Here is a 23,629-nt window from a genome sequence, read left to right as displayed (position 1 = left end):
GGGTGTCCTTTCCCCAAATGGATGTTAAAAGGCCCCACATCACTAATCACCAGAGAAATGCAAATCAAAACCACAATGAGATACCAACTCACCCAGTTAGAATAATGATTATCAATAAGACAAAAGGCAAACACACAAACAAATGCTGGCAAGGATTCAGAGAAAAGGGAAGCCGTATACACTATCGGTGGGAATGTAAATCAGTACAGCCGTTGTGGACAACAGTACGGAGATGTCTCAAAAAAATAAAAATAGCACCTACGCCCTCATCTAGCAATCCCACTACTGGGTATTTATCCAAAGGAAAGGAAAGCAGCACGTGAAAAGGGCAGCCTCAGCCTCATGTTTCCTGCAGGACCACTCACAAGAGCCACGACGCAGAATCAGCCTAAGTGTCCATCAGCAGGCGCCTGGATAGAGAAAAGGTGCCACACACACACTGGAGTAGTATTCAGCCGTAAAGAAGGATGAGATCCTGTCATTCGCAGCTGCAGGCATGACTCCGGAGGGCATTGTGTTAAGTGAAACAAGTTAGGCACAGAAAGATAAATACCTCCTGTTCTCATTCATACGTAAGAGCTAAAAAATACTGAGCTCATAGAAATAGAGAGGAGAATTATGGTTATTAGAGGCTGGAGAGGGGAGGAGGCTAGGGAGAGGTTGGCTAGTGGACACCAAGTTACAGCTAAACAGGAGAAATCAGCTGTGGCACTCTATGCACAGTAGGGCGACCACAGCTAAGAGTAATATACTGCAGATGTTAAGAAACCTGGAAGAGAGGATCTTGAGCGTTCCCAACACAGAGAAATGATCAATGTTGAGGCGATGGGTGTGCAGACTACTCTGATTTGATCACCACACATTGTTTGTATATATGTGTTGAAATATCACACTGCACCTATAAATATGTACCATTATTTTACGCCAACTAAAAACAAAAAGAGAAAAATATCAGCTGTGGGGCAACTGCAGTTAGGTTGTTACAGGGAACGCTTGGGTTGAGTCCTGGGACCCATGAGGATGCAACAGGCACCCAGGTGTCCCCACTCAGGCTGTCTCCAGGGCCCCATACGTGGCTCTGGGACACCAAGTGGCTGCAGCAGCCTCAGGGCGCCCACCGCCTTCTCTCCTCCTCCTCATATGGCGCCGTTCATTCTGGAGGGAAACCCCCTCACCTGGGCACACCCTGTTCCTTTTCTTACTTCCAAACTCCCAACACTTTGCAGGCACAGCCGGGAGCTGTGACCTGGGGTAGCCACATTGGCCAGCTCTGGGGGGGCGGCAGCCCTGGAGGGGACTGGCTGCACCCCCGCCTACTCTCTAGCCTACCCTGGGTCAGCACCTACCTCTCCCAGCCTGTCTCCTGCAAAGCTGGGATAAAGCTGCCGGCTGCCCATGGCTTCTGTGAGGTGCAGCCTCGAGCTGAACAGTGCAGCCCCCACACAGACAGTCACCTCCCTGAGAGAGAAACAGTGGCCCACGCATCAGGGCTGTCCACGTACTGGCTCTGCCTCAGGGTTGCACCAGCACCCAGCAACCCCTCTCTGCAAGCGGGCGGCTCTAGGGGCCGAGTGACAGTTCTCCCCACTGCCCAACAACCCCTCCCTGCATGCGGGCGGCTCTAGGGGCTGGGCGATGGTTCTCCCCACTGCACAGATGAGGACACTGAGGCCCAGCAGCTGGTGTGGGCCAGGCCAGGGCTGCAGATGGGCCTCGTGCTGGGGATGCCCAAAAGGGAACCCCCAGCTTCCTGGCCCACGGAGCTCCTCAAACACCTAGCGCTGGCCTTGGGGAGGGGGCGCTGTCCATCCCGACAGCTCCCAGGCAGGGGCTCCTCACACGGCCACCCTCACACTGACCCCTAGGGGCAGTCCCGGTCGACCACCTGGAGTGTTTCCAGCCCGCTCTCCCTCTTCTACCTTAGGACAAAGTCCACCCTCTCTTCCGCAGGCCAAGCGCACATCCTGGCTCTGAATGAGGCCCCATGGGGAAACAGGCCCTTTCTGGGGCCAAAGACAACCCTGGATGCCACGGAAGCAACTCTGGGGAGGCGTGCTGGGCAAAAGGGGCTGGCAAACCACTGAGCACATTCCAGAAGATTCCTCAGGGCTGCTCCTTCAGAGAAATCAAGTCCCAGGCAGACGCCACCACGTCTGGCGATTTTCCAAGGACTTCTCAGCCCCCCAGGGCTCCGGGTTGGGGGTTCACAGGAGCCTCTCTGGAAGGACCAGGGCTTCAACTCATGCCCTCCCAACAAGCCCCACCCCTGCCTCAGTGACTTGGCCCCAGCCTGACCGGCCGGCCACTCCTCCAACTGCACACCTGGCCCTTGATGACTGTCTCCTTCTCCTCCAACTGCACACCTGGCCCTTGATGACTGTCTCCTTCTCCTCCAACTGCACACCTGGCCCTTGGCGGCCGTCTCCTTCTCCAACTACACACCTGGCCCTTTGCGGCCACCTCCTTCTCTTCCTACTGCACACCTGGCCCTTGGCGGCCACCTCCTTCTCCTCCAACTGCATACCTGGCCCTTGATGACCATCTCCTTCTCCAACTGCACACCTGGCTCTTGGCGGCTGTCCCCTTGCTCGGCAAGGCTCAGCCACGGGGTTCTCCCCATGCCACTCGGTGCCCAGTCCCCCCTCTGCTGTGGGCTGGAGGGGATGCCTTCTGCAGGCTCCAAATCACCTGTGGAATGAAATCCAGCAGCATGTCCCATGCTGACGTGTCCAGCCCTCCCAGCCCTGCCTGTGTGCCAGGGATGTTGATGAATTTGGTGTCATCCTAGGTCTGTGTGGCAGGAGGCCTCCTGCACCATCCTGGTGGTTGGGGACCCCCGCCTGCCATGGCCGGAAGAGGTCACTGCTAAGGAAAGGCCGTGGTCCATTTGCCGTGTGCCCTGAGCGCAGTGGCGTCCCAGGCCCTGAGGTCCCTCTTCATTCTCATCAGCACCCGGCAGGGCAGCCTTGGCCATCCTGGTAGCACAGGTGAGGACAGGCTGGCAGGGGGCCCTGCCTGAGGCCATAGCTACGGAACGGTGGCACAGACACACGAAGCCAGCTCCTATCCTCCAAAGGCCCCGCCTGTCACCCCTGTGGTCTCAGATAGACGATCCACTGCCGGGAAGAGCCCTACACCCTGGACATGCCGCGTTTTTGTCACACTAGTCTAGCAGAACATTAGAACCCCAAAGGAAACACACACAAAGCTCCTCCCCGAAGCTGGGCCCTTCGGAAAGGATTCTGGAGGTGCCCATGTTCCCCCATGGAGCACAAGGCTGCAGGAAGGGTTCTGGACCCCATGTTCCCGGCTGGGAAAAGGTTTTCTTCTCTAAGGCTGCACGGATTGTGCTGAAAGAGCAGCCATGGGCCTTCCCTCCATGCAAGGTCAAGTCATGAAAGGTCATGGAGACCAGGGGTGAACAAGTGCGGGGCTGCAGGAGGAGGGGCCAGGCGAGGCCAGCAGCCCAGGGGCACATGCTGCACCCTGGAGACAGGGAGTGAGATAGGGACAGCCCCGTGGGGTGTGCAGGGAAGGGCGACCTCAGCTGGCCTGGGGTGCACAAACCTGCTCCCAAGAAAGGGTTATCTTCAGGGCTGGCCCTAGGCTGGCTCCTGGGAGTGAGTTCTGAGACCCTGGAATGTCCTGTCCCATTAGAGTGTCTCTGTAGGTCCGAGGCCTTGGACCACGCCGTGCCAGCCTGACCAGTTTATGCCCCAGCTGGTTTATGGACTTGTCCACAGGAGCCCTTTCCCTTTGCAGATTGTAATCTGTGTCCTTTCATAGTAATGAGCCAAAACCATGAGTGTAACAGCTTTTCTGAGCCCTGTAAGTTTTTCCAGAAAATCTTCAAGCCTGAGGGTGGTCTCAGGGATGCTGGCCCACCAGGATGGGGACAGAGATGCACAGGGCATGCTTCGGGTGACGCTCACTGCAGACAGAGATGCCGACTGCAAGTGTGGCCTGGGATGCCTTCTTGGTGGATGCTCCCCACTGGTCCACAGGTGGACAAAGCTGTAGGCTGATGGCAGTGCCCCGCTGGCCATGCAGCTCCACAGCCCCCCTTGGGGCAGTAGGCCTTTTAATGGCAAGATTCAGAGCAGAGGAGATCACATGTTCAAATCCCAGGCCTGGCACACTCAGGTAAGACAGAGCCACTGTGGTCCTCTGAGACCCTCTGTATCTTCTTCTGTAAAAGGGGGCCCATGAAGCCTGCCTCTGGGGTGCAGATACCTACCTGCACCCAGCAGTGGCCATGGACTTTTGTGTAGATGATGGATCCCTGAGCCTCAGGGCACTCCAGACGCCCCCGGTTCAATACCAAAGGCCAACAGCTAAGCCAGCGTGGGGCCACGCAGGGTGACCCCTCCACAGATGGAAGTTGTGACTTGTCACGGAGATGGAGTCGTGAGAGTTTCATGTGAAGAGCAGACAGGACTAAGGCAAGCTTCTCCTCTGACCTGAGAAATCCCCCAAAGTATCTCCCAGGAGGCCCCACAGCAAGTGGCAGGTAGACAGGCCATTCAGCAGGTCCCTCCTGAGAGATGGGTGCCCGAATGCCTGGAGACACTGACCTACTTCACCTAGACAGTGTCCCGGGCTCCAGTGTGGCTGGCAGGCAGGGAGGAGTGCCCATCCACAGTGGGCCTGAGCAGGGATAGCCATACCTCAGAGGTCAGAGGAGGCTCAGGGCAGGGTGGGGTGTGTGGCAGGTCCCTGAGCCCCCCAAGGCTGGACCCTGCAGCCCCTCTGCCCCACCCTGCCCTGGCAGCTGCTGCTGGCAAGGATCCTAACACAATCGCCTGCAGGGGTCTCTGGGATTCGGCGAGCCATCCCAGGACACTAGGAAAAGCCACTTGCTCTGATAAGCTCCCAGAACAACCTTGACTCATTTTCTGCCAAACACTGCCTTGTGCCTTCCATGCATGTCCTGCCAGAGCTGGCTGTGGGGCAGGTGAGCCCCAAACAGGGAGCCCCCTCTCCAGGCCTCAGCACACCCCCAGGAGTCTGTGAAGCTCTGTGTCCTTCCCCCCAAATGATAAAGCTGAGCCAGTCTGACAGCATGTGGGAAACGTCCCCCAGCAAGGTGCCCGGACTCACGGCCTCACCAGCCCAACTGCCCAGGAGGAAAAGAATGTCATTGGACTCCTTCAAATGATGGTGTGAGCCACCCAGAGCAGAGGACTCCCTCTCCAAGACCAGCTGCCCCCCTGCCCAGCCCCCGGAAGTCTTTCTGCTGCAGGGCAGCGCCCCCATGGGGAGGGCTCCCTAAGCACGGCTGGATTAAGAATGGACCTTTGCTAAACAGAATTATCCCAATCTCATGGAAACACATGCACCTAAGATAAAGTGCTGGGAGAACAAACCCCCAGGACGCCACCCTGGGTTATCTCTGAGCCACAAGATAAGGTGGCCTGGCCCACTCTGCCAGCCGAGGGAGTGTCACCTGGATGGCCTCCAGTCCAGCCCGCACCCCTAAAGCTCGGTGGAGCCAAATCTCACTCTGTTGTCTCTCAGAAGTGCCCACTCGATCGCTGGTACCAGAAATGAAGAGTGAGCAACTGGGTGTTGAGTTCTGGGGTGGAACCTGGGTTAGGCATGATACAGAGAGCAGGGTCCCAGCCTGGCTTATGGAGCCCACCTGAGTGTGAGTGTGTGGTCCTGGGTGACAATCCTGAGCTGGCTCGGCACCCCACACACTCGGGGTCCTGTGGTGCTGGTGTGTCGTGGGGATGGGCTCCTTCCCAGAGTGTAACAGACAAAAGCCACCTGACGTCTGAGGAGCTGATGGGGGTGCGAGTGTCATCTAACATCACCATGGGGACAATGGCACTTGGGACTTTTAGAGCTTCTCCCGTGTTCGAAAACACTTTCTTTTTCATCTGAGAACCTCAAAATGATGGAAGCAAAAGTAGATCAAAAAATGACCACCTTCAGCAAATGCACGTCTATTTTCATCAATGAAACACTAATTTTGATTAAAGCATAGTCTTTTTGAAGATTCCGTTTGTAGCTGGATGGCAGCCCATGGCTGGAAACAGGAGAAAGTGCTGAGACAGACTGGGAAGCCTTTGGCTACCGGCTTCCACTGTCCCTGGCACTTTTGGTGATGCGTTTTGCTCTTTCCTCCATGTGGGGAGCCCTCGTCTCTAGGCTGTGGGTTCTGAAACCTTCCCAAGTTCACGAGTCCACATCTGCTCTGGCAAGGCCCGTCCACAATGTGCTTGGCGTAAAGCAAGAGGGACACCAGGCCAAAGGTATCTGCCCTCAGGGGCCCACGAGTCAGTGGCTTCCCATGCACCTGGCACCAGCCAGACTTTTCACAACTCACGTGTTCAGCAAATGCACACACCCCACCCATGCTCCCGAGGTCCTTCCCAGGGGCAGCAAGAACTCTTCTCTCTGGAAGCCCCTGCCTTCTCCAGCTCACAGACATGGCAGAGCCCTGGTAATGGGACAGACCTCCTCACACAGGCAGCTCAGAGGAGCCACCCGCTGCCTCCCGACACAGCCACAGAACCCCGAAAATGAGCCAACAAGACTCACAGATGACTGCATGGAAGAGCATGGGAAGGTCCCGCGTGGATCTGGGACCCACATCCTTCCACCTCTGCAGGGCAGGAGCCTAGAAGCATGAATTAGCACCAATAAATGAACATGAGTCCTATATGACCCGTTGGTGGTATTTAGCTACATTCTGGGATGTGCTATCAGGGAATGGAATGCTACAGAAGAGAAGCCATTTGAAAGCACAGCAAAAGTGTCTTTTCGAAATAGAGGCCACTCTTGGCCAGGTGCGGTGGTGGCTCATGCCTGTAATCTCAGCATTTTGGGAGACCGAGGGGGGCGGATCACCTGAGGTCAGGAGTTTGAAATCAGCCCGGCCAACATGGCAAAACCACGTCTCTTCTAAAAATACAAAAATTAGCCAGGTGTGGTGGCGGGCGCCTGTAGTCTCAGCTACTCGGGAGGCTGAGGCAGGAGAATCACTGGAACCTGGGAGGTGGAGGCTGCAGTGAGCCGAGATCACACCACTTCACTCCAGGCTGGGAGACAGAGTCGGACTCCATCTCAAAAAAAAAAAAAAAAAAATTCCAAAGAGAGGCCACTCCCAAGTCAGAGCAGCAGAGTCCAAAACATTAGAAGTCTTGGAGCCATTAACACTGTAACTGCTGCAAAAGCCTAAGACAAAAGTACTCCCAGCTCCCCCAGAAATGCAGCACCAAGGCATCGGGCCCCAGGCATGCTTTAGAACAATGTGCCTCAACAGGTAATAAAACCAAATACACAGGAGATACTGAAATGACAACAAATTAGGTTCTCTCCCAGTCCAATCCCATTGTATGTTAATCTCAGACCATCGGCCTCAACAAAGCTCCAAGCAGATTTGTTTGCAGGTCAACCAGGACAGGCAGACTCCTCAGTCTTCTTGTTATCCAATGGATTTTTAAAAAGAAATAAGTAAATTCTGAGATGTTCATTGTCATAAAACTGGTATCTATTTTTCTAAAACATCAGGTGAAAACCGTCATGGTAGAGACAGCGGGTGGGCCACAGGCTGGCAGCAATGACATTGGGAGAACCCACACAGACAGTATTCACCGGCCCCTCCAGCTTTAAGTTCAAAACCTGAAGACCAGGCAGGCGGCATGGGGCGGAATGGATGGGGTGCCCTGAAGTGACCGCACACCCCATCTCTGCAACTCCTCCATTCTGCCTGCTGTTTCAGAAGACCATTCTGGGGACGTCAGTAAGCCTGGGTGCTAGTGGGTCTGGGTGTAGTGGGGACAGATGCACCCTCCGGGGCACAGAGAGGGGCTGAGAAGAGCGGCCACACTCAGCGGCCTGGCTCAGCCCTCACTCCGCCACACCCCTGGGGCCTCCAGGGGACAGGAAAGGAGATGCTGGTACACTCCTGGGCTGTGTCTCAGTCCCAGTTCCCATTACTGCATCCCATCAGATTCCCTGGGGCCCGTGAGGCCTGGGAGGTCAGCAGAACTCAGCCTTCCGAGCCCTTCCCACCTGTGTCCTCATCCCTCCTCTATCTCTCCCCGGGCACCCCCGACTACCTCTCCCCAGGCACCCCCGACTGCCCCTTCCCTTGGAGAGATGGGCCAGGACCAGGAAGGCGTCCAGGAGGGAAGCAGAGGCCGTCACCCGAGTTCACGCCGCCAGCCTCTGCAGCACACCGCCCGGGTGCTGGAGCCTGTCTCCAGGACAGAACGCCCAGACGCGAGGGCGGGAAAATGCACCAAAAACCAAAAGGCCAACGGGCCTTAGGTTTGCTCAGAGCAGGTTGGGGAGTCAGGCCTGGGCACACTGAAGGCCTCGGGGGCTGACTCAAGGTGCCCGGTGCCCGGGAGAGAAGGCCTCACTCCAATCAATCCATGCATTCAGGCCACAGCTCCTCAAGGCTTTGGAGCACGAGCCAGTCTTGTGGCAGCGCGGAGGGAGGGGCTCACCACGGTGGAGGCAAAGCCACTCACAGCCCGAGAAAGGCAGTGGCTCAGAATGTCTGGTGGCGGGGGAAGGGTGGGGGTGACAAGGAAGGCAGGGCCAGAAGCCCTGGGAAGGCCTGGTTGACCAGTTTGGAGGTGACAGGGACACAGTGGCCATGCCCATGGAAGGGGCCTTGGGCAGTCAGCGGGAGATGACCTTGAGGCTGACCTTCAAAGATGCGTCCCTGACAGGACCCCAAGCATGCCCCAGCTCCTCCCGTTAGCTTCTTCCATGGCAAACAGCACACATACCAAGCACCAGCCCTACCCGAGCAGGGCCAGGCCCATCCCCACCTCCTGAGTCCCCCAGCCCTGTCTGTGTGCATCCAGGAACCCGAGGCGGCGACGGCAGGCTGGGTTCTGGGACACAGTGCGATGTCAGCCAGTCCCCCAGTGCTACTACGAGCTAGATACTGGTGACTCACTTCCCAATTAGCCACGTCGTCACGGGAAGCGCAAGTCAGGCCTGCTAAGTATGCGTGTTTCACAGGGTTTACTCTCCAGCTCAGCCGAGAAGAGGCGGACAGCACAGCCCGCCTGCGGGCCCGGCGCCTTCCACACCCCCTTCCTCCTCAGCAGCATCGGGGCTGCTCTACCCAAGGAGGCCGGCACGCACTGTGTGCTCAGGGACACCTGGTCACCCGTCTGTGCAAGCTCACTTTGCTCCACAGTGGCCCAAGTGACCCGTCCCCTATTTGAAAACACACTAGAGGTGTTTGTCGAGCAATGTTTCAACTTCATTGTGTGAATTACAAGCAAAATCCCATCAGTCCCTTAGCCCGTGAAGCTGAAGCCAAAAGCAAACAAGCATCACTTTAAGCTGTTGTTGGTCAGGGACAGGGGAGTGGGGTCAGGGCCCAGACGAGCCTGCCATCTGCATTATGGGGCCTTGGAGTCTGAGGCTGGGATCGCTGATACAGAACTGTACAACCCTGCCGCGTCACCTCCGTTTTTATCATCCTAAAATTGAGGGTCTGGAAGACAATGAGCACCATCAATTTCGGGCTGGAAAACTGAGGCCCAAAGAGGAAAAGCCTTAACCTCCCCTCATCTTACCAAGCAAAGGGGTCTCTGAGAATTGCTGAATTTGAAGGGAACAGAAGGTGGCTTTGGTTTAAGACACATGGAGTCTGAGGATACAAAGGGAGGTGCGGTTCCAGCTGACCAGATCTGGAGCTGCAGGCAGACTCACGGGTGTGTGTGTGTTGGGAGTGCTGTCTAACACCCCGGAACGCACATTTGCACCACATAACAGAAGCACACTCCACGCCCCAGCCCACCACATGCACGACAAGGGGACCCGGGAGGGAAGGTCCGCCTTGCCCTAAAAAGAGGGGAGGAAGACGGCCCTGGAAACAGGAAAGTCCTGACTCAGCAACAAAGGTTGGGGGTGGCAGAGGTCGCCCCAGGCAGGAGGCTGCCCACAGGATGAGAATAGCCTGCCTGGAGGCAGCATCCAGTGTAGAGTGGAGCTGAGTGTTCTACCAGCACAGGCCGGCTGACCCCGGCGCCACCCCCCTGCGGAGGGCCCTACTGAGCCTGAGCTCAGCCAGGGACCAGGAACCAGGGACCAGAGTCAGGGGAGCCGGCTAGAACAGAAGGGCACGTCGGTGCTAGGCTGGGGGAGGCGCAGAGATGGACATAAAGCAAACTCTAGGCAACCAAGGGTCCCACCAGCAGAGCAGAACTTCCTGGGGAGAAATCCACTTAGGAAATGCGGGCTGTAGACACCACAGAAATCTCCAAAAATCACACTTGGGGACTCAGCCACCTCCTGGAAAGGCAGGCGTAATGAAACAAGCAGGAAGATGAGGGGAAAGGCTGATGGGCGCCGCCGTCGGTGCGGGAGTGTTTGATTGCCTCTAAATGGCTTCATCACCATCGGCAGCACGGTTACATGTGAAATGCGGAGAAATTAAGACAGAGAAGAGATTGCAAGCAACTGGTGAACCCTGCGCTGATTCCAAGCTCTGGAAACAGAAGTGTGTGGAAACGTGCAGAGACACCTCCCTCCCGGCAGACAGCCTTTCCAGCAGCTCCGCCGGTCTGGGAGGGGCTGCACTGAGCCTGCAGGAGCTGTCTCTGCACAGAGAAACAGTCACGGGAGGCAAGGGACACGCACGGGACGGGGACTTGGGCTGAACTTCCTCAGACCCCCACGCTGGCCCGTCCAGCTGCAGAAGTGGAGAAACCCAGAAACTGTAAGATTGCCACCCTGCTGGTATTGAGTCCACACCAGGAAATACCAGCACAAGTGTGCTTGCTGGGGCCACAGACAAGGTATAGGTGCGCTAGAGCAGGGCTTCCAGTGGGCTGATTGTCCCAGGGTCAGGCGGCAAGGTCCAGAGACATCTTTGGTTGTCACAACTGGGAGGAGGGGCCCCTGGCATCAAGTGGGGGGTGGCCGGGGTGCTCGCAAAGCCCCGCCATGTACAGGCAGACCCCTGCCACAGAGCATGGCCCAGCTCTAAATGACCCCAGTGCTGCCCTGAGAAACCCTGAACTGGGAGAAATTGGAACAAGTGCAACTTTAACGAGAACAAAGATTGGGGAGCTGTCACTGCAGAAGTCCAGAAAAAGAGGCCAAAAGGAGGGTTTGAGTTTTCCACTCTAGCAACGAGAAAAGTCCTACTAAATATACCTACCAATTCTGAGCTCTTCCCAGGTATTCCACATATTATTATTATTAATCAAACTGTTAGAACCAAAGATATCTTTGGAATCCAGGAGACTTAGTTTGCAAGAGGACAGCAGCCCTCCAGCCCCTGCCTCTTCAGCCCCACCCCTAGGCTTGCAGCCACTCCTACCCTCAGCCCACTCTTCAGCCCCGCCTCCAGGTGGGCCCCACCCCACTCTTCAGCCCCGCCTTCAGGCCCCCAGCCCTGCCCCTTCAGCCCCGCCCCCAGGCTTGCAGCCCCACCCCTAGGCTTGCAGCCTCTCCTACCCTCAGCCCACTCTTCAGCCCCGCCTCCAGGTGGGCCCCACCCCACTCTTCAGCCCCGCCTTCAGGCCCCCAGCCCTGCCCCTTCAGCCCCGCCCCCAGGCTTGCAGCCCCACCCCTAGGCTTGCAGCCTCTCCTACCCTCAGCCCACTCTTCAGCCCCGCCTCCAGGTGGGCCCCACCCCACTCTTCAGCCCCGCCTCCAGGTGGGCCCCACCCCACTCTTCAGCCCCGCCTCCAGGTGGGCCCCACCCCACCCTTCAGCCCCGCCTCCAGGCCTCCAAACCTGCCCCTGCCCTCAGCCCCGCCCCCAGGCCTCCAGCCCCGCCCCCAGGATTCCAGCTACTCCTCTGACCCTCAGCCCCGCCCCCAGGCCTCAGCCCCGCCCCCAGGATTCCAGCTACTCCTCTGACCCTCAGCCCCGCCCCCAGGCCTCCAGCCCCGCCCCCAGGATTCCAGCTACTCCTCTGACCCTCAGCCCCGCCCCCAGGCCTCAGCCCCGCCCCCAGGATTCCAGCTACTCCTCTGACCCTCAGCCCCGCCCCCAGGCCTCCAGCCCCGCCCCCAGGATTCCAGCTACTCCTCTGACCCTCAGCCCCGCCCCCAGGCCTCAGCCCCGCCCCCAGGATTCCAGCTACTCCTCTGACCCTCAGCCCCGCCCCCAGGCCTCAGCCCCGCCCCCAGGCCTAAACCCAGACTGATGACCCCTGGCCACTGGACACTCCAGTCTTGTCTTTCAAGCTTCTTGGCTGCGCTGAGGCGGAAATGCCGTCTTTTCTAGAGCTGTTCTACGAGTGCAGAAACAGGGGCAAGGGGCTGGCCCAGAAACCAGCAGCGAGGCTGCGGAGCATCCCTGAAGATGGAAGAACCCTGCCGGGCCCCGTGGGACCGCAGGCCCCGGCTTCTCCTCCCTGCGTCCTCCCTCCACCCAGGGCAAGGTCCGCCCATACGGGAAGGAGGGAGGCGCGGCCTGGAACACCGCAGGCGGGGGCGGAACGGGGCCATGGTCCCTGGCAGGGCTGATTTCCATGGATGGGCCACTGCTGGGGAGCCCCGAGCCCGTGGGGAGTGGAGCTGGCACCGGGAGGAAGCCCAGACCTGGAGTCAGGCAGGCAGGCCTGCAGTCCCTGTGCGGGACCAGCCCCACCGCTCCCCATAAGGAGGGGGCCTCCAGTCCAGCAGCTCCTCCCCTGGTGGCTGGGAGGTGAGGGGGCGCCAAGCCTCTTTCTGGAAGGTGAAATGCAAGCACAGCAGCCTGTTACTGTGTTAGTGGTATTGCTTTCTCTGTATTTTCTTTCCTATATTCATTCAGAGATCCTGAACCAAGCATGAAGATGCTGTGGGCGACAGATTCCTGCATGTGCCTTTAGGTGGCACAGCCTACGCCGTTAACCCCCAGGAAACCAGGGCCCCTGATGGCTGGACCACCCCGCCTGCCCTTCACAACTCTCCCTGCGGTGCACCTGCAAACCAGGACCACACAGCGCCCTAAACGAGCAGGCAGTCCCAGCAGAGGTAGAGCCAGACCCCTCTGTGCCCAGCTCTGGGTGGAGTGGGTGACGTCAGAAGACATCGCCTACCACAAGTGGGCCCTCCTCTGTCCCCCACAGCTGGTCAGGCGTCCCTGACTCCCCTGGCTCCTCTGCCTGCAGGGTTGACATCATTGTATAGAAGGGTTTCCACATCCACGTGACCTTCTGGAGCTTCAGCCCACTGAGAGCTGGGAGGTTCCCTGTGGCTGCCTCACCGTACAGCTCACTGCCCAGCAGATGCCGTGACCAAAAGCATCTGTCCAGAGAGCCCACAGTCAGTCCCCCGAGGCCAGCAGCCATGCCCCAAGCTCACAGCCCAACAGCTCACTGCCCAGCAGATGCCGTGACCAAAAGCATCTGTCCAGAGAGCCCACAGTCAGTCCCCCGAGGCCAGCAGCCATGCCCCAAGCTCACAGCCCAAAACAAGGAAGAAAGTGACCCCGACAGTGGCCACCACAACACACACGCACAGCACTGGAGAGGGGATGGGGATGCATGCTCAGGGGATGCCTCAGGAAGCAGGGGATCCTCTAAGACATGAGGTGGGCACTTTCTGGCCTAGCTCACCATGCCTTCCTGCATCCACTGCATTTAGGGAGTAAGCCGGGCCTTCACGGGCGATAGGAGCACCACAGCACCTATGTCCAATCCGGAGTATGTGGGAGAGGAATGAGCACAAGCAGCTTCCTGGGAAGCTTCTAGAAGGCCCTGTAGGCAGGAGGCTGCTCTCAGGATTGGACTCCAGGGCTGGACAGAGGGATGGAGACTCCCACCTGGGCCGGAGGGCTCAGCTTTGGGCGCCCTGAGTGTGGTGAGCCAGGGGAGAGGGTGAGAGCCGGGGAGGAGGGTCGAAGGCAGCCAGGTTCTTCCAAGGGAAGTTATGGTTCAGGGCAGGGGCCTGGAGGCGGAGAAGCCACTGAGGATGACGCTGCTACATTCAGGAGGGAGAGCAGGTGTGAGGTCTCAAGTGACGGCAGCCCAGACAGAGAGAGGACGGGCAAGATGTCTTTGGGACAACGAATGGACATGCCGGCTGGGTGCAGGGCCAGGGGCACAGGGAGCCCAGGGAAGGGAGAACAAGGATGGAGGAGCCTCCCCAGATGGAAACCAGATCCAGAGCTAGATCTTGGGCTGCCTCTCACCACCTCTGGGAGGTCCCTGACATTCTGAGGTGGCGGCTGGGTTGGGACACAGAAGGGTAGCATGAAGAACCCACCAGAACACAGGGGCCTAGCCCAGGCTGCTCCCCCATCATCTTCGGCCTTTGCTTTGTGCCGACTGACTGTCCCCTCCCCTCTGGAATGTCAGCTCCAGGAGAGTGACCATCTCTGCCCCCGGGGCTTGGCGCATGGCTAGAGCTCACCCAAGACTAATTAAATGAATACCCTGGAAGCCACGTCTCCAGCTTCACCCGCAAGCCTGCAGCCAGCTCCACCACTCCTGCCTCCTTCGAGCAGTGCTGGAAGGAGACCCGCAGAGCCAGGCCCCTCCAAAGCGGAGGCTCACCCCATGGCAGGTGACACGCCAAGGGACAGGGAGGCCTCTTCCAGGGAGAATCACTGCGGGGCTGCCATCCCACTGGGCCCAGACCCACCGTCCCGCAGGATGCTGCTGGCATACAAAGCTGGAACTCAGCCTCCCTGGAGCCAGGAGGACCAGGGGATTCCAGAGGAGTCCCGCTCGCCTAGTTGGAGATAAAAGTAATTCCACACCCGATTCCTGCCAGCCATTTTAATAAATAAGTAAACGCTACAAAGCCTCAGGGAGCCCTCTACCACATTCGCCGGGGTGAAGGAGAGACGAGAATAGTCGCCCAGATCTGCTGCCAGCTGCCAGGCCCGCTTCTGGAAAGCCCAGCACCGAGGCAGCTTGTGCTGCTGCCGTGAGTCTTAGCACATTCTAGGGCGGAGAAGTCCGGAAGGGAGGAGCAGGGTGGCTGGAGCTGCTGTTCCTGGGCTCCAGGCCTATCCAGGGCCTCCACAGAAACCATCCACACTGGGGGCAGATCAGGGGGCCCTTGTCAGTGGAGAAGCCCCAGGACCATGTGCAAGGCAGCATTTAAGAAGAGACACACCAGACGCTATGGGCCCCCTGCATCTGCACCAACACAGGCCCCTGACACAGCCTCAAGGACAGTTCTCCTAACAAACAGTCATCAATCTACAGGGCTTTCCACACCCCAGTGCTCACTCCGGCCACCTGATCAGATTCTGGTCCTCCTTGTCCATCTCCACCCTGAATGCTGGGGCTGGACCATCGCTGACAGTGCTCCGGGTGACAGGTGGCAATCTGTAGAGGTCATTAACTCCAGAGCGCCACATTTTAATGCAAAAAGGAGCCCTTCTAAATCGGCGCAGATGCGAGCCTATATAAAGAAATGGGGATTTTAATGTTTTGCTTTTCTTCCCTTTTCTAGTGCCACATTATCATAACATTTTCCCATAATTACGCCCATAAAAGTCACCTGAAAATGCTTCATGCCACAAAAGTTGATCTACATATTTCATTCCGAGCATGTCGAGTGGCAGATCCTGAGCTCAGAACTCTGGGGCAGAACTTAGCTGGGGAGCCTGGTATGGAAGAGACCCATCAGGTGGAGCCTCCTTCTTGGGTTCAAGTGTCCTCTGGCCTCAGGGAGGTCCAGCAGGGACACCTGTGTGGACAGTGGAAGAGTGGAGACCCCCCTTCTGGCCCTATCTCAGTGAAAGAGCAGGGGTGGAAGGTGGGAGGGGACAGTGGGGCACCGCCAGGATCACCAGGAGTAAATGCGGCTCTCCAGGGCACTGTCTAGAGCCGCTGGGAAGTCCCTTCCCCCAGGGGTCCCTTCGGAAGTCCCTTCCCCCAGGGGTCCCTGCGTGGGAAAATCCTGTGAGGGGACAAACCTGCCTCTTCCTCACTGAGCCTAGGGCATGGATGTCGGCTAAAAGAAATCCCAGAGACAGATAATTTATATTTATGGAGCTGAAAAAAAACAAACATCCCATCTTCTTGTGCCCCAAATTCATCAAATAAAAACACAGTGAGAATTTTTTCAAAAAAAGATGAGAAATAAACTTCTGAACGGCACCACTTCATTAAGCCTCCACTGTTTTCCATTTTACCTCTTCGAGAACTCCAGAACAAAATTTGAACAGCAGGAAAGTAACATATTCTAATCGCTCCTAAATATGCAATAAATTGTATTTATAAAGGAAATGCAACACTACAGTGCCTACGCTCAGTTAGGATTCTAATGGATTCAAAACAATTCCAAAGTTGTTTGTAATTTCTTCTCATAGTTATAGATGAGGACATGAGATTTAACTGGAAGGTACAGCTCAATATTGACGGGATTTATTTGGAAATTTCCATGTCCAGCACATAGTGAACCTGTCTGTCTTCCTCACTCTCCCTGGTACGCTGAAATATAGTCTGGGTCCCCACCATCCACCTGCTCGTGCTGAATAGGGCACATGGAATCTAGGCTAGTGCAGAGTGTCCTTCACCTTTGATTTCAACGCTGCACACAAGGACCGAGTCAGTGCTTAGGTGTCATAGGGAGTTGCCCCAGGTCCTCATTTGCTTCTCTCCCTTGCTGCTGTTCTATCCTAGATGCCAGGGTGGAAAGATCACATCTTCAGCGGCGGGCACAGAACACCCTCAACCAGCTCTAGCTGGGTCAAGAGGTCCCATTCCACATCTAGGCAAGAACCACATCTAGGCAGACAGACTTCTCTACTCCAAATACGCTAAGGGGAAAACAACCTATATCAACTCTTTTTAAGCCACACCCAGAGAGGTTTCCTCAGACCAGAATGGAGAAGAGCTTCAACTTCCCCATCAAAGCTCATCATCATGCAAGTCAACTTATTACCAACCATCCAACAACCCTCATGGGCAGCACCGGCCGCGGAGGAAACCAAGCCTGCTGTCACCGTGATGGTCGCAGACCACCGAGCATGCATTTTAAAGTGAGCCATCCAGGGCCCCTTTCCCCTGTTTGCGTCTCCTGGCACTTCTTCCCCAGGAGGAGAAAATGACAAGGCTGTGTCACTATAGCAACTAGCCTAATTGGTGGACTGCAGGTCTTTCTCCGGCCAGACGGTGGAGCCCATCTCCTTCTATATGGATCCCAGCACACGAGAAAGAAAGAAGGCCGGACTCTCACTGGGCCAAGAACAGTAGAATCCCCCCAACAGAAAACCAGGCCAAGAAAGAATCCAGTTTCCTCCTAGCTGCACTAGGAAGCCAGCACCTTATGTGTTGCAGAGAAACACACAGATTTAATAGGCAGGATAATTGAACGCTGTATGATACTTATCAGTTTCCCTAATTAATATGATACAAATATATCTGCTTCATAACACAAAGACATTTTGAGTAATAAAAATCCTTACTGATGACAAAAACAATTTACAAACGAGAATACGAACTATTCTTCTTCATCCCAGATCTATTGGAAGAAAGAATGAAAATCCTAGGAACTGTTTAATTTGCATTTAATTTGCTTTATCGGTTCTGAAAAAAGGGGGGGGGATTTTTTTTCTCTAGGACTGCAGTTCCAAGCTATAAATTATTATTATGTCTATTTTGTATTTTAGTGAAATGTTTTAATTTCTCCAAGTACATTTCTGGTGTAATGGGGTGTGTCTCTTATTGTCAATTATTCCATTACATGGAGATGGAAACAGCCATAAAAAATGTGCTTCACCCAAGCTTCTGTTATTAATTATTTCTGCTACTCTGGTAAGACCTTCTTACCAATTGTCCTTGTCCTGGCGAAAGGCTGTTTCCAGAACGCTGGGGAGGCCTCCTAAGGAGGAGGGATGAGTGTGGAAACCAGATCTCCCATCCTCAGCGTGTCTAAGCAGCAGGCTCAGATGTCTGTGCTGGGACACCAGGACTCCACTCGGCAGAGCAGGCGACAGTCTCAGGAAGGTGTGAGCCCGTCCGGATGAACAACGTGCTGACACCTTAGGATTCAGGATGCAGCGCAGGGTGGGAGAGGGCTGACGCTGCGTGTCTTGAGACAGTGTGTACCGCGCTCCTCGCGGGCTCGGGAAGTGCGGTGTTGAAGCCACAGGGCCCTGGTGTCAAGTACTTCGCAACAATTAGCAGTTGTTCTTTTCCACACCTGCTGAGCTGCTGGGGGTTGGGGGTGAGGTGTTGTCCTGGGTTCTAGCAGCCAGCCAGGGATGGGCCGCCTGTAGTGGGCTCAGGGCACTACAGCCCCTCCCCAAACACTGCTGAATGAGCCCCCTCTCCCTCTCCTCTCCTCTCTCTCCTCTCCTCTGGGGTGATGCCACCAGGAAGTGCATTCAAATGCCTCCTCTTCCGCACAGAGTTTACCTGCCATTAACCCTTTCTACATCTCCTAGGAAGCCTTGCTTGGGGATCTTCTAGGGAATCCCCCCACATACCCCTGCAGGCCCCGTGACGGCCGCGGAAAACTCGGGGGCAGGCACAAATGTCGCTCAAACCCCCAGACCCTGCTCCCTGCAGGCGGCCAGCCAGTGAGTTCCCAGGGGCGCCGGCGCACCCACGGTGGCCTCGTCTGCCTGGGCAGCTCGGGTTGAGACCCCCAGGCTTGGCGACCCCTCCCCGCTCGGTGCCACAGCATTTCTAGGGAAATGCATAACCGCGCTGAAGCAAGTAGGAAAATTCCTGCTCTGGTCCCCGGGTTTCCCTTGCGATCCTGGCGAGCTGGGCTGTCCCAGGACTCCGGAGGCCGATCCCGCGGCTGCCCGGGTCTCCCTGGGCCACTGTGCTCTCATTTTGGCGACAGCGGAAGGATCAGATCGGACTGGGAGCTTGGAGGCCCGGGGCTCTGGAGGAGGTGGTGTCTGTGGAGGGAGGTTCGGTGCTGGCCTTTTTTTTTTTTTTTTGTAAAGAATCCATATTTTTCCATCACCTCCCGCGCCCATGGCAATTCTCCATGACAGGTGCTCCCCAGCACCCGTCCTATTCTCCCGCTGAAGACAAGAAGCCCGGAGCTCCCGGAGCTGAAGCCGACCAGCCCGCGCCATCTGGGGCCAGAGCCTGTGCCCGGGACGCTGAGCGGCCCCCACTTACCCCACCAGCCGCGAACGTGCCCCGGGATGCTGAGCACCCTCCCCAGCGCCGAGGCTGGAGTCTGCACCCGGGACTCCAACCACCCCTCATTCCACCCGCCTGGAGCCTCGGCAGGGGCACAGGCCACCCCCCACCCTTCACTCCAGGCAACAGGGAGCCCGCGGCGGTCACCCCCTACCCCAGCCCTCAGCTCACGCCCGGGCGCCCACTGGCCCGCACCACCCCAGCCCGCGCCCGCGCCAGTCCCGCCGGTCACCAGCTCGGGCCCCAGACACGACCCGAGAAACGTCCGCGGCCGCGGCGAGCCCCCTCCGGGCATCCCATCCCTCACTTCGCTTCTCTTTCCAGAAGGCGCCTGACGAGCCCGTTTCCCGGGAAAGCGGAAGCTCCAGCTGCTCCTCCGAGCCCAGGCTGGGCTCCTGCCTGAAGAGCTCCTCTCCGGGCTCGGCCGCCGCCTCCCCCCTTGTCCCGGGCTGAGGCACGGGGAGGGCGCTCCGCAGACACCCCGGCAGCGCCGCCCGCCCTCCGCGACCTGCGGCTGCCTCCTGAGCGCGCATCTCGGCCGGGAAGCCGCTGGCTGGGCTCCGACCGCCGGGCAGGGACGGGCCGCGCCACCCGGGGCCTGGAGCCCGGGCCCTGCCGGGGAGTCAGGGAAGGGAGGCTCGGGCCGGGGCGTCCGACCCCGAAGTGCTCGAGCGCCCGGAACCCGGGTGGACCCTCTCGCCCGCCCAGCGCAGCGTTGGACCGGCCGGGACTCGGGGGACCATGCGCCCGGCGCTCGTAACTCCGCGCCGACTCCGGGAGGCCCGCGGGGCGCCTGCCGGGGCCGGAGGAGGGGGTCCGGGGCCCAGAGGGCCGTGCCGGGGCCGGGGCCGCGCGGTACTCACTGCAGTAGGCGATGAGCAGGCTGGCCAGGATCATGAACGCCCAGAAAGTTGAGGACATGCTGGGCAGGGCGGTCGCATCTTGCCGGCTGCCGGTCCTGGGCGATGGCGCCATTGAAGCCGCGGCGCCCGCGCGGGGGGCAGCAGCGCGTCTCAGCAGCCGGCCCTGCCCGCGCCCCCGCGCCGGCCTCCACGTGCGGGCCCCGCGCGCGCCATCCTCCGCCGCCGCCGCCGCCGCGCCCGGGCCCCGGCCCACCGCGCCCCGCGCCGCGCCCGCGCCGCCCGCGCTCGCGCCCGCGCCCGCCGACCCCGCGCCGGCCCGCCAGGGGGACGCCGGCCCCGCTCTGGGCGTCACTGCGCGCCCCGGCTACGCGCGCCCCGGCATCCGCGAGAGAGGCGCGCGCCCGCCACCGCTGGGGGCTCCAGCCGCCCGCCGACCCGGGCCTGGCAGAGGGGACGCGGCGCCCAAGCCGCTCCTCCGGATGGCGACAGAGACGGCCTGACGCGCCCGCAGCCTGGGCCCCCCACGGGGAGGACGGCCGGGCCAGGTGAAGTTCGCGCACTTGGGCCTTCCGCGCCCCCATCCACCGCAGCCAGGGCCTGGAAGGCTGGGGAGGGGGCGGGGGCGGCAGACGCCTCCTAAGGTGGGTTCTGGGACTTGGATCCGGAGTTTATTCCAAGGAGAGGGTGCTCTGGGCCTGTTCCCTAGGTGTGCCCTGTTACCCAAAATCGGGCTTGTGCAGTGGGGTCCCTGAGTCCACTGGGAGCACAGCCTCAGACCCCAGCAGAGTCACCCTTCATCGGAAGCCCACCACCCTGAGGGCTCCTCCTCCACCTGGGGCGGCACTGCCAGGCACAGGCACGCACTTTCCCTCAGTCCTCTGCCCCACGATCACTCTACTCGGGCACCTCTGCCACTGCCTGGTCCTTGCTGAGCCATCTCCTGGTTCATCTCCCTGGAGTCCCTGCAGGACCGGCTCTCAGTGGCGTCTCCGGGCTCCCAGTCCCAGGACTGGTCCTATCCAGGTGGGTTTTCTGAGCAGGATGACAATGATCGCAATCTATTTTACCTGCATAGTCAACGATCATCTGCAAGACAGGTTCACTCCTATAACAAGCAAAGGATGGGGGGAAAATGAGCCTTGTAAGGACACAAGGACACTTTCCCCATCTCCAACCCTCCTAGTCATGTCCCCTCTGCACCTCCCTCTACAGCCCAGGAGATACGCTCCCCAGTCCAGGATGTCCAGATGGCCCTGCTGCCTGGAGAGGCTCTGGCCCCTGCCGGTAGCTGCCACAGCACCACCCCAAGCTCTGCCTTCCTGCAGGTTCGTGCACACGACTAATAGAACCCCTCCTCTGGAACTCACAAGATATTCTCCATCCTGCATAGGGCTGGGGGCTTGAGCACCCCAGGAGATTCTTTTGGCGCTGGAGACCCTTTTCTGAGGAGCCAGTAGAGGGCCTGCAAGTCAGATTGAGCAACCAGGGAGAAGAAGCATCATCCCTTCATCTTGAGGCCTGGTCCAGGGAGGTGAAGGGATGTGGACTGTCCCCAGCCGTACACTCACCCACAACTCATGCATGCAAGCATTCATGCCCCAATGCACACACAGCACCACACACACACATATTTTCCTTGAATCTCTCTCTCTCTCTCTCACACACACACACACACACACACACACACACACTCTCCCATCCACACACACACAACACTTTAGGAGAAACTGAGCAAAGAAAGGCAGCCTCTCACTGCGAGTCCTCTAACCCCCGTCCCAGTGGTTGTTGTGCACTGAAGCTTCCTTGCCAGGGGCTCTGACGGGATTCTTGTGTTAATATGATTGTGTCCATGCTTGTTTTCTCCCATCAATTTTGAATCCTGTTTAATTAAAACGCTGACTTTCCTGTTTAGTATCTTCTCAACTGCAGCTTCTCCCCGCTCTCTTTCCTGGCAGGGAGGTGATTCTGCAGAAGTTGGGGCTCCTGACAACTTTGGGGTGGCCATGAGGGACGTACCTCTTGCCTCTGGATGTGCAGGGTGGGCCTGGGACCCTGGCAGGGAGGGGCTCCCTCAATGGGATTCTGTGGAGTCAGCCATTGATGCCCAGGTCTCCACCCTTACAATTTCATTCCTTTCATTGAAGCCTTTTTTCCTGCTAAAAAGGATGTGGCTTTTAAAATGTTACAGATTCCAATTCATCCTGTCCATCCCGAACTCCTGTGCCAGACATTCCTTCATTCAACCTCTGTTTATTGAGCAACTACTTGGGCCAGGCACTGGGACTGGGGAAGCCAACAAGACATAGATTTTCTGTCCCCCTGGAAAGTGACAGTCAGTTTGAGAAACAGACAAGGAAACAAACAATTCCAGTGCAGTGTGGCAAGCGTCACGATGGGAGGGAGAGGAGAGCACTCTTGGAGCACAAGAGAGGAGCATTTACCCTAAAATCACACTCTAGAACACAGCAAGGTGTGTGCCAGGGAAGGCTTCCAGGAGACTGGTTTCCAGGCCCTTTTGGTCCATCCTTAGGACAAACACACACACACATGCACACATATATGCACATACATGAACACACACACGCACGTGAACACACAGGCACACACATCCACACACACGCACATACATGCACACACATGCTTTAACACACATGCACACACGCATGCACAAACATGCTTGGAGTGAAACTTTCCGAAGCAATATTTACCCCAAAAATACTCTGATGTTTTCTATTGTATCCTAATTCATTTTTGAAATGCTGGTTGCCCTCCCAATAATTTGGTTTATAGTAATTTTCTTTCTTTAAAAAATATGGTTTGAAGAGAGATGCAGTCTACCTTGACTTTGGGAGGGTATATTGGAGGCTTCTTGCCAAAGGACAGGGGCTGTGGTGACAATGGGGTGGCTGGGGAGGGCTCCCAAGCAGAGGAGAAGGGGTGCAGTGCGGTACCCGGCCTGCTGTATCCAGGAACTCAGACACTGAGGTTTTTGTGCTCGCAACATTAGGGCTATGGCGGGGAACCTTGGGCTATGGGAGAGCAGTGCCTGGTTCATTACATGCTGAATATTTCCAGAAAAAGGGAATGGAAGGGGAGCCCTTGGTGCTTATGACTTGGAGTCTAGAATGGTGGAGAGTCTGAAAATGGTGACGCTAGAAAAGGTGAATTCTCCACCCCAGGTTACAAGTAGACGGACCTGAGGAGTGGGGAGGCAGGGGGGAGGTGTGGGGTCCGAGATCAGATTGAAGAGATGGGGTCTCCCTGGGACAGCAACCTTGAGGTAATTACAAAGACACCACCCCCGGGCAGCCCGAAGGCAAGGGCAGGTGCCTGGTCCAGCCCCATCCCGGCCTTGTTTCCAGAGGCCTGGAGAGAGAGACCAAGATGGAAATTGAGGATGGGGGGTGAGCGCAGCCTGAATTCGGTTGCTAGGGAACAGAAAGCTCTGCTCTGGATCGCAACACACGCTACGGATTGACGATTTTGTTGTTGTTGTTGATGGGCTGGTTTTGATTACTAGCCAGAACTGACAGGAGTTTAGATTTTGAAACCTAAATAAGTCTATTAAGGAATCACACCATCACCTTAACTCCTACCCAAAAACGCAGGGGATGGCAATGGTGTAACCCTTGAGGGAGTCCTCGGCTCTCACCCCACACCAAGCCACCAGTCCTGGGACTGCTTCAGAGGCCTGACCCATAGAAGGGGCATCCTGCATGGC

The 23,629-nt window shown here is 57.5% G+C and overlaps 1 protein-coding gene across 1 annotated transcript in view, besides 5 other annotated features; it reads right to left on the bottom strand.

Annotated features, from left to right (window-relative positions):
* TAFA5 (TAFA chemokine like family member 5) overlaps positions 1 to 20,060 on the bottom strand; it is a 262,380-nt gene extending 242,320 nt beyond the window's left edge. The window contains exon 1 of the mRNA NM_001082967.3: positions 19,909 to 20,060. Coding sequence (NP_001076436.1) covers positions 19,909 to 20,020 — 112 coding nt within the window. The 5' untranslated portion in view covers positions 20,021 to 20,060. The remainder of the gene's footprint in view (positions 1 to 19,908) is intronic.
* Positions 2,087 to 3,086: an enhancer, noted in NCBI's record as "H3K4me1 hESC enhancer chr22:48902339-48903338 (GRCh37/hg19 assembly coordinates)". NCBI's record gives its function as "activates a minimal SCP1, AML or CMV promoter by ChIP-STARR-seq in naive H9 embryonic stem cells {active_cell/tissue: H9 hESC(naive)}" and the evidence as "EXISTENCE:reporter gene assay evidence [ECO:0000049][PMID:30033119]".
* Positions 9,445 to 10,358: an enhancer, noted in NCBI's record as "H3K4me1 hESC enhancer chr22:48895067-48895980 (GRCh37/hg19 assembly coordinates)". NCBI's record gives its function as "activates a minimal SCP1, AML or CMV promoter by ChIP-STARR-seq in naive H9 embryonic stem cells {active_cell/tissue: H9 hESC(naive)}" and the evidence as "EXISTENCE:reporter gene assay evidence [ECO:0000049][PMID:30033119]".
* Positions 11,925 to 12,784: an enhancer, noted in NCBI's record as "H3K27ac-H3K4me1 hESC enhancer chr22:48892641-48893500 (GRCh37/hg19 assembly coordinates)". NCBI's record gives its function as "activates a minimal SCP1, AML or CMV promoter by ChIP-STARR-seq in primed H9 embryonic stem cells {active_cell/tissue: H9 hESC(primed)}" and the evidence as "EXISTENCE:reporter gene assay evidence [ECO:0000049][PMID:30033119]".
* Positions 13,647 to 14,507: an enhancer, noted in NCBI's record as "H3K4me1 hESC enhancer chr22:48890918-48891778 (GRCh37/hg19 assembly coordinates)". NCBI's record gives its function as "activates a minimal SCP1, AML or CMV promoter by ChIP-STARR-seq in primed H9 embryonic stem cells {active_cell/tissue: H9 hESC(primed)}" and the evidence as "EXISTENCE:reporter gene assay evidence [ECO:0000049][PMID:30033119]".
* Positions 17,477 to 17,982: an enhancer, noted in NCBI's record as "H3K4me1 hESC enhancer chr22:48887443-48887948 (GRCh37/hg19 assembly coordinates)". NCBI's record gives its function as "activates a minimal SCP1, AML or CMV promoter by ChIP-STARR-seq in primed H9 embryonic stem cells {active_cell/tissue: H9 hESC(primed)}" and the evidence as "EXISTENCE:reporter gene assay evidence [ECO:0000049][PMID:30033119]".
* Positions 20,061 to 23,629: the final 3,569 nt, after the last annotated feature.

Source organism: Homo sapiens, chromosome 22 (genome assembly GCF_000001405.40).
Source record: "Homo sapiens chromosome 22, GRCh38.p14 Primary Assembly".
NCBI classification, from domain to species: Eukaryota; Metazoa; Chordata; class Mammalia; order Primates; family Hominidae; genus Homo; species Homo sapiens.
Note: the sequence above shows the minus strand (reverse complement) of the source record. Positions and strands in the feature narration are given on the sequence as shown.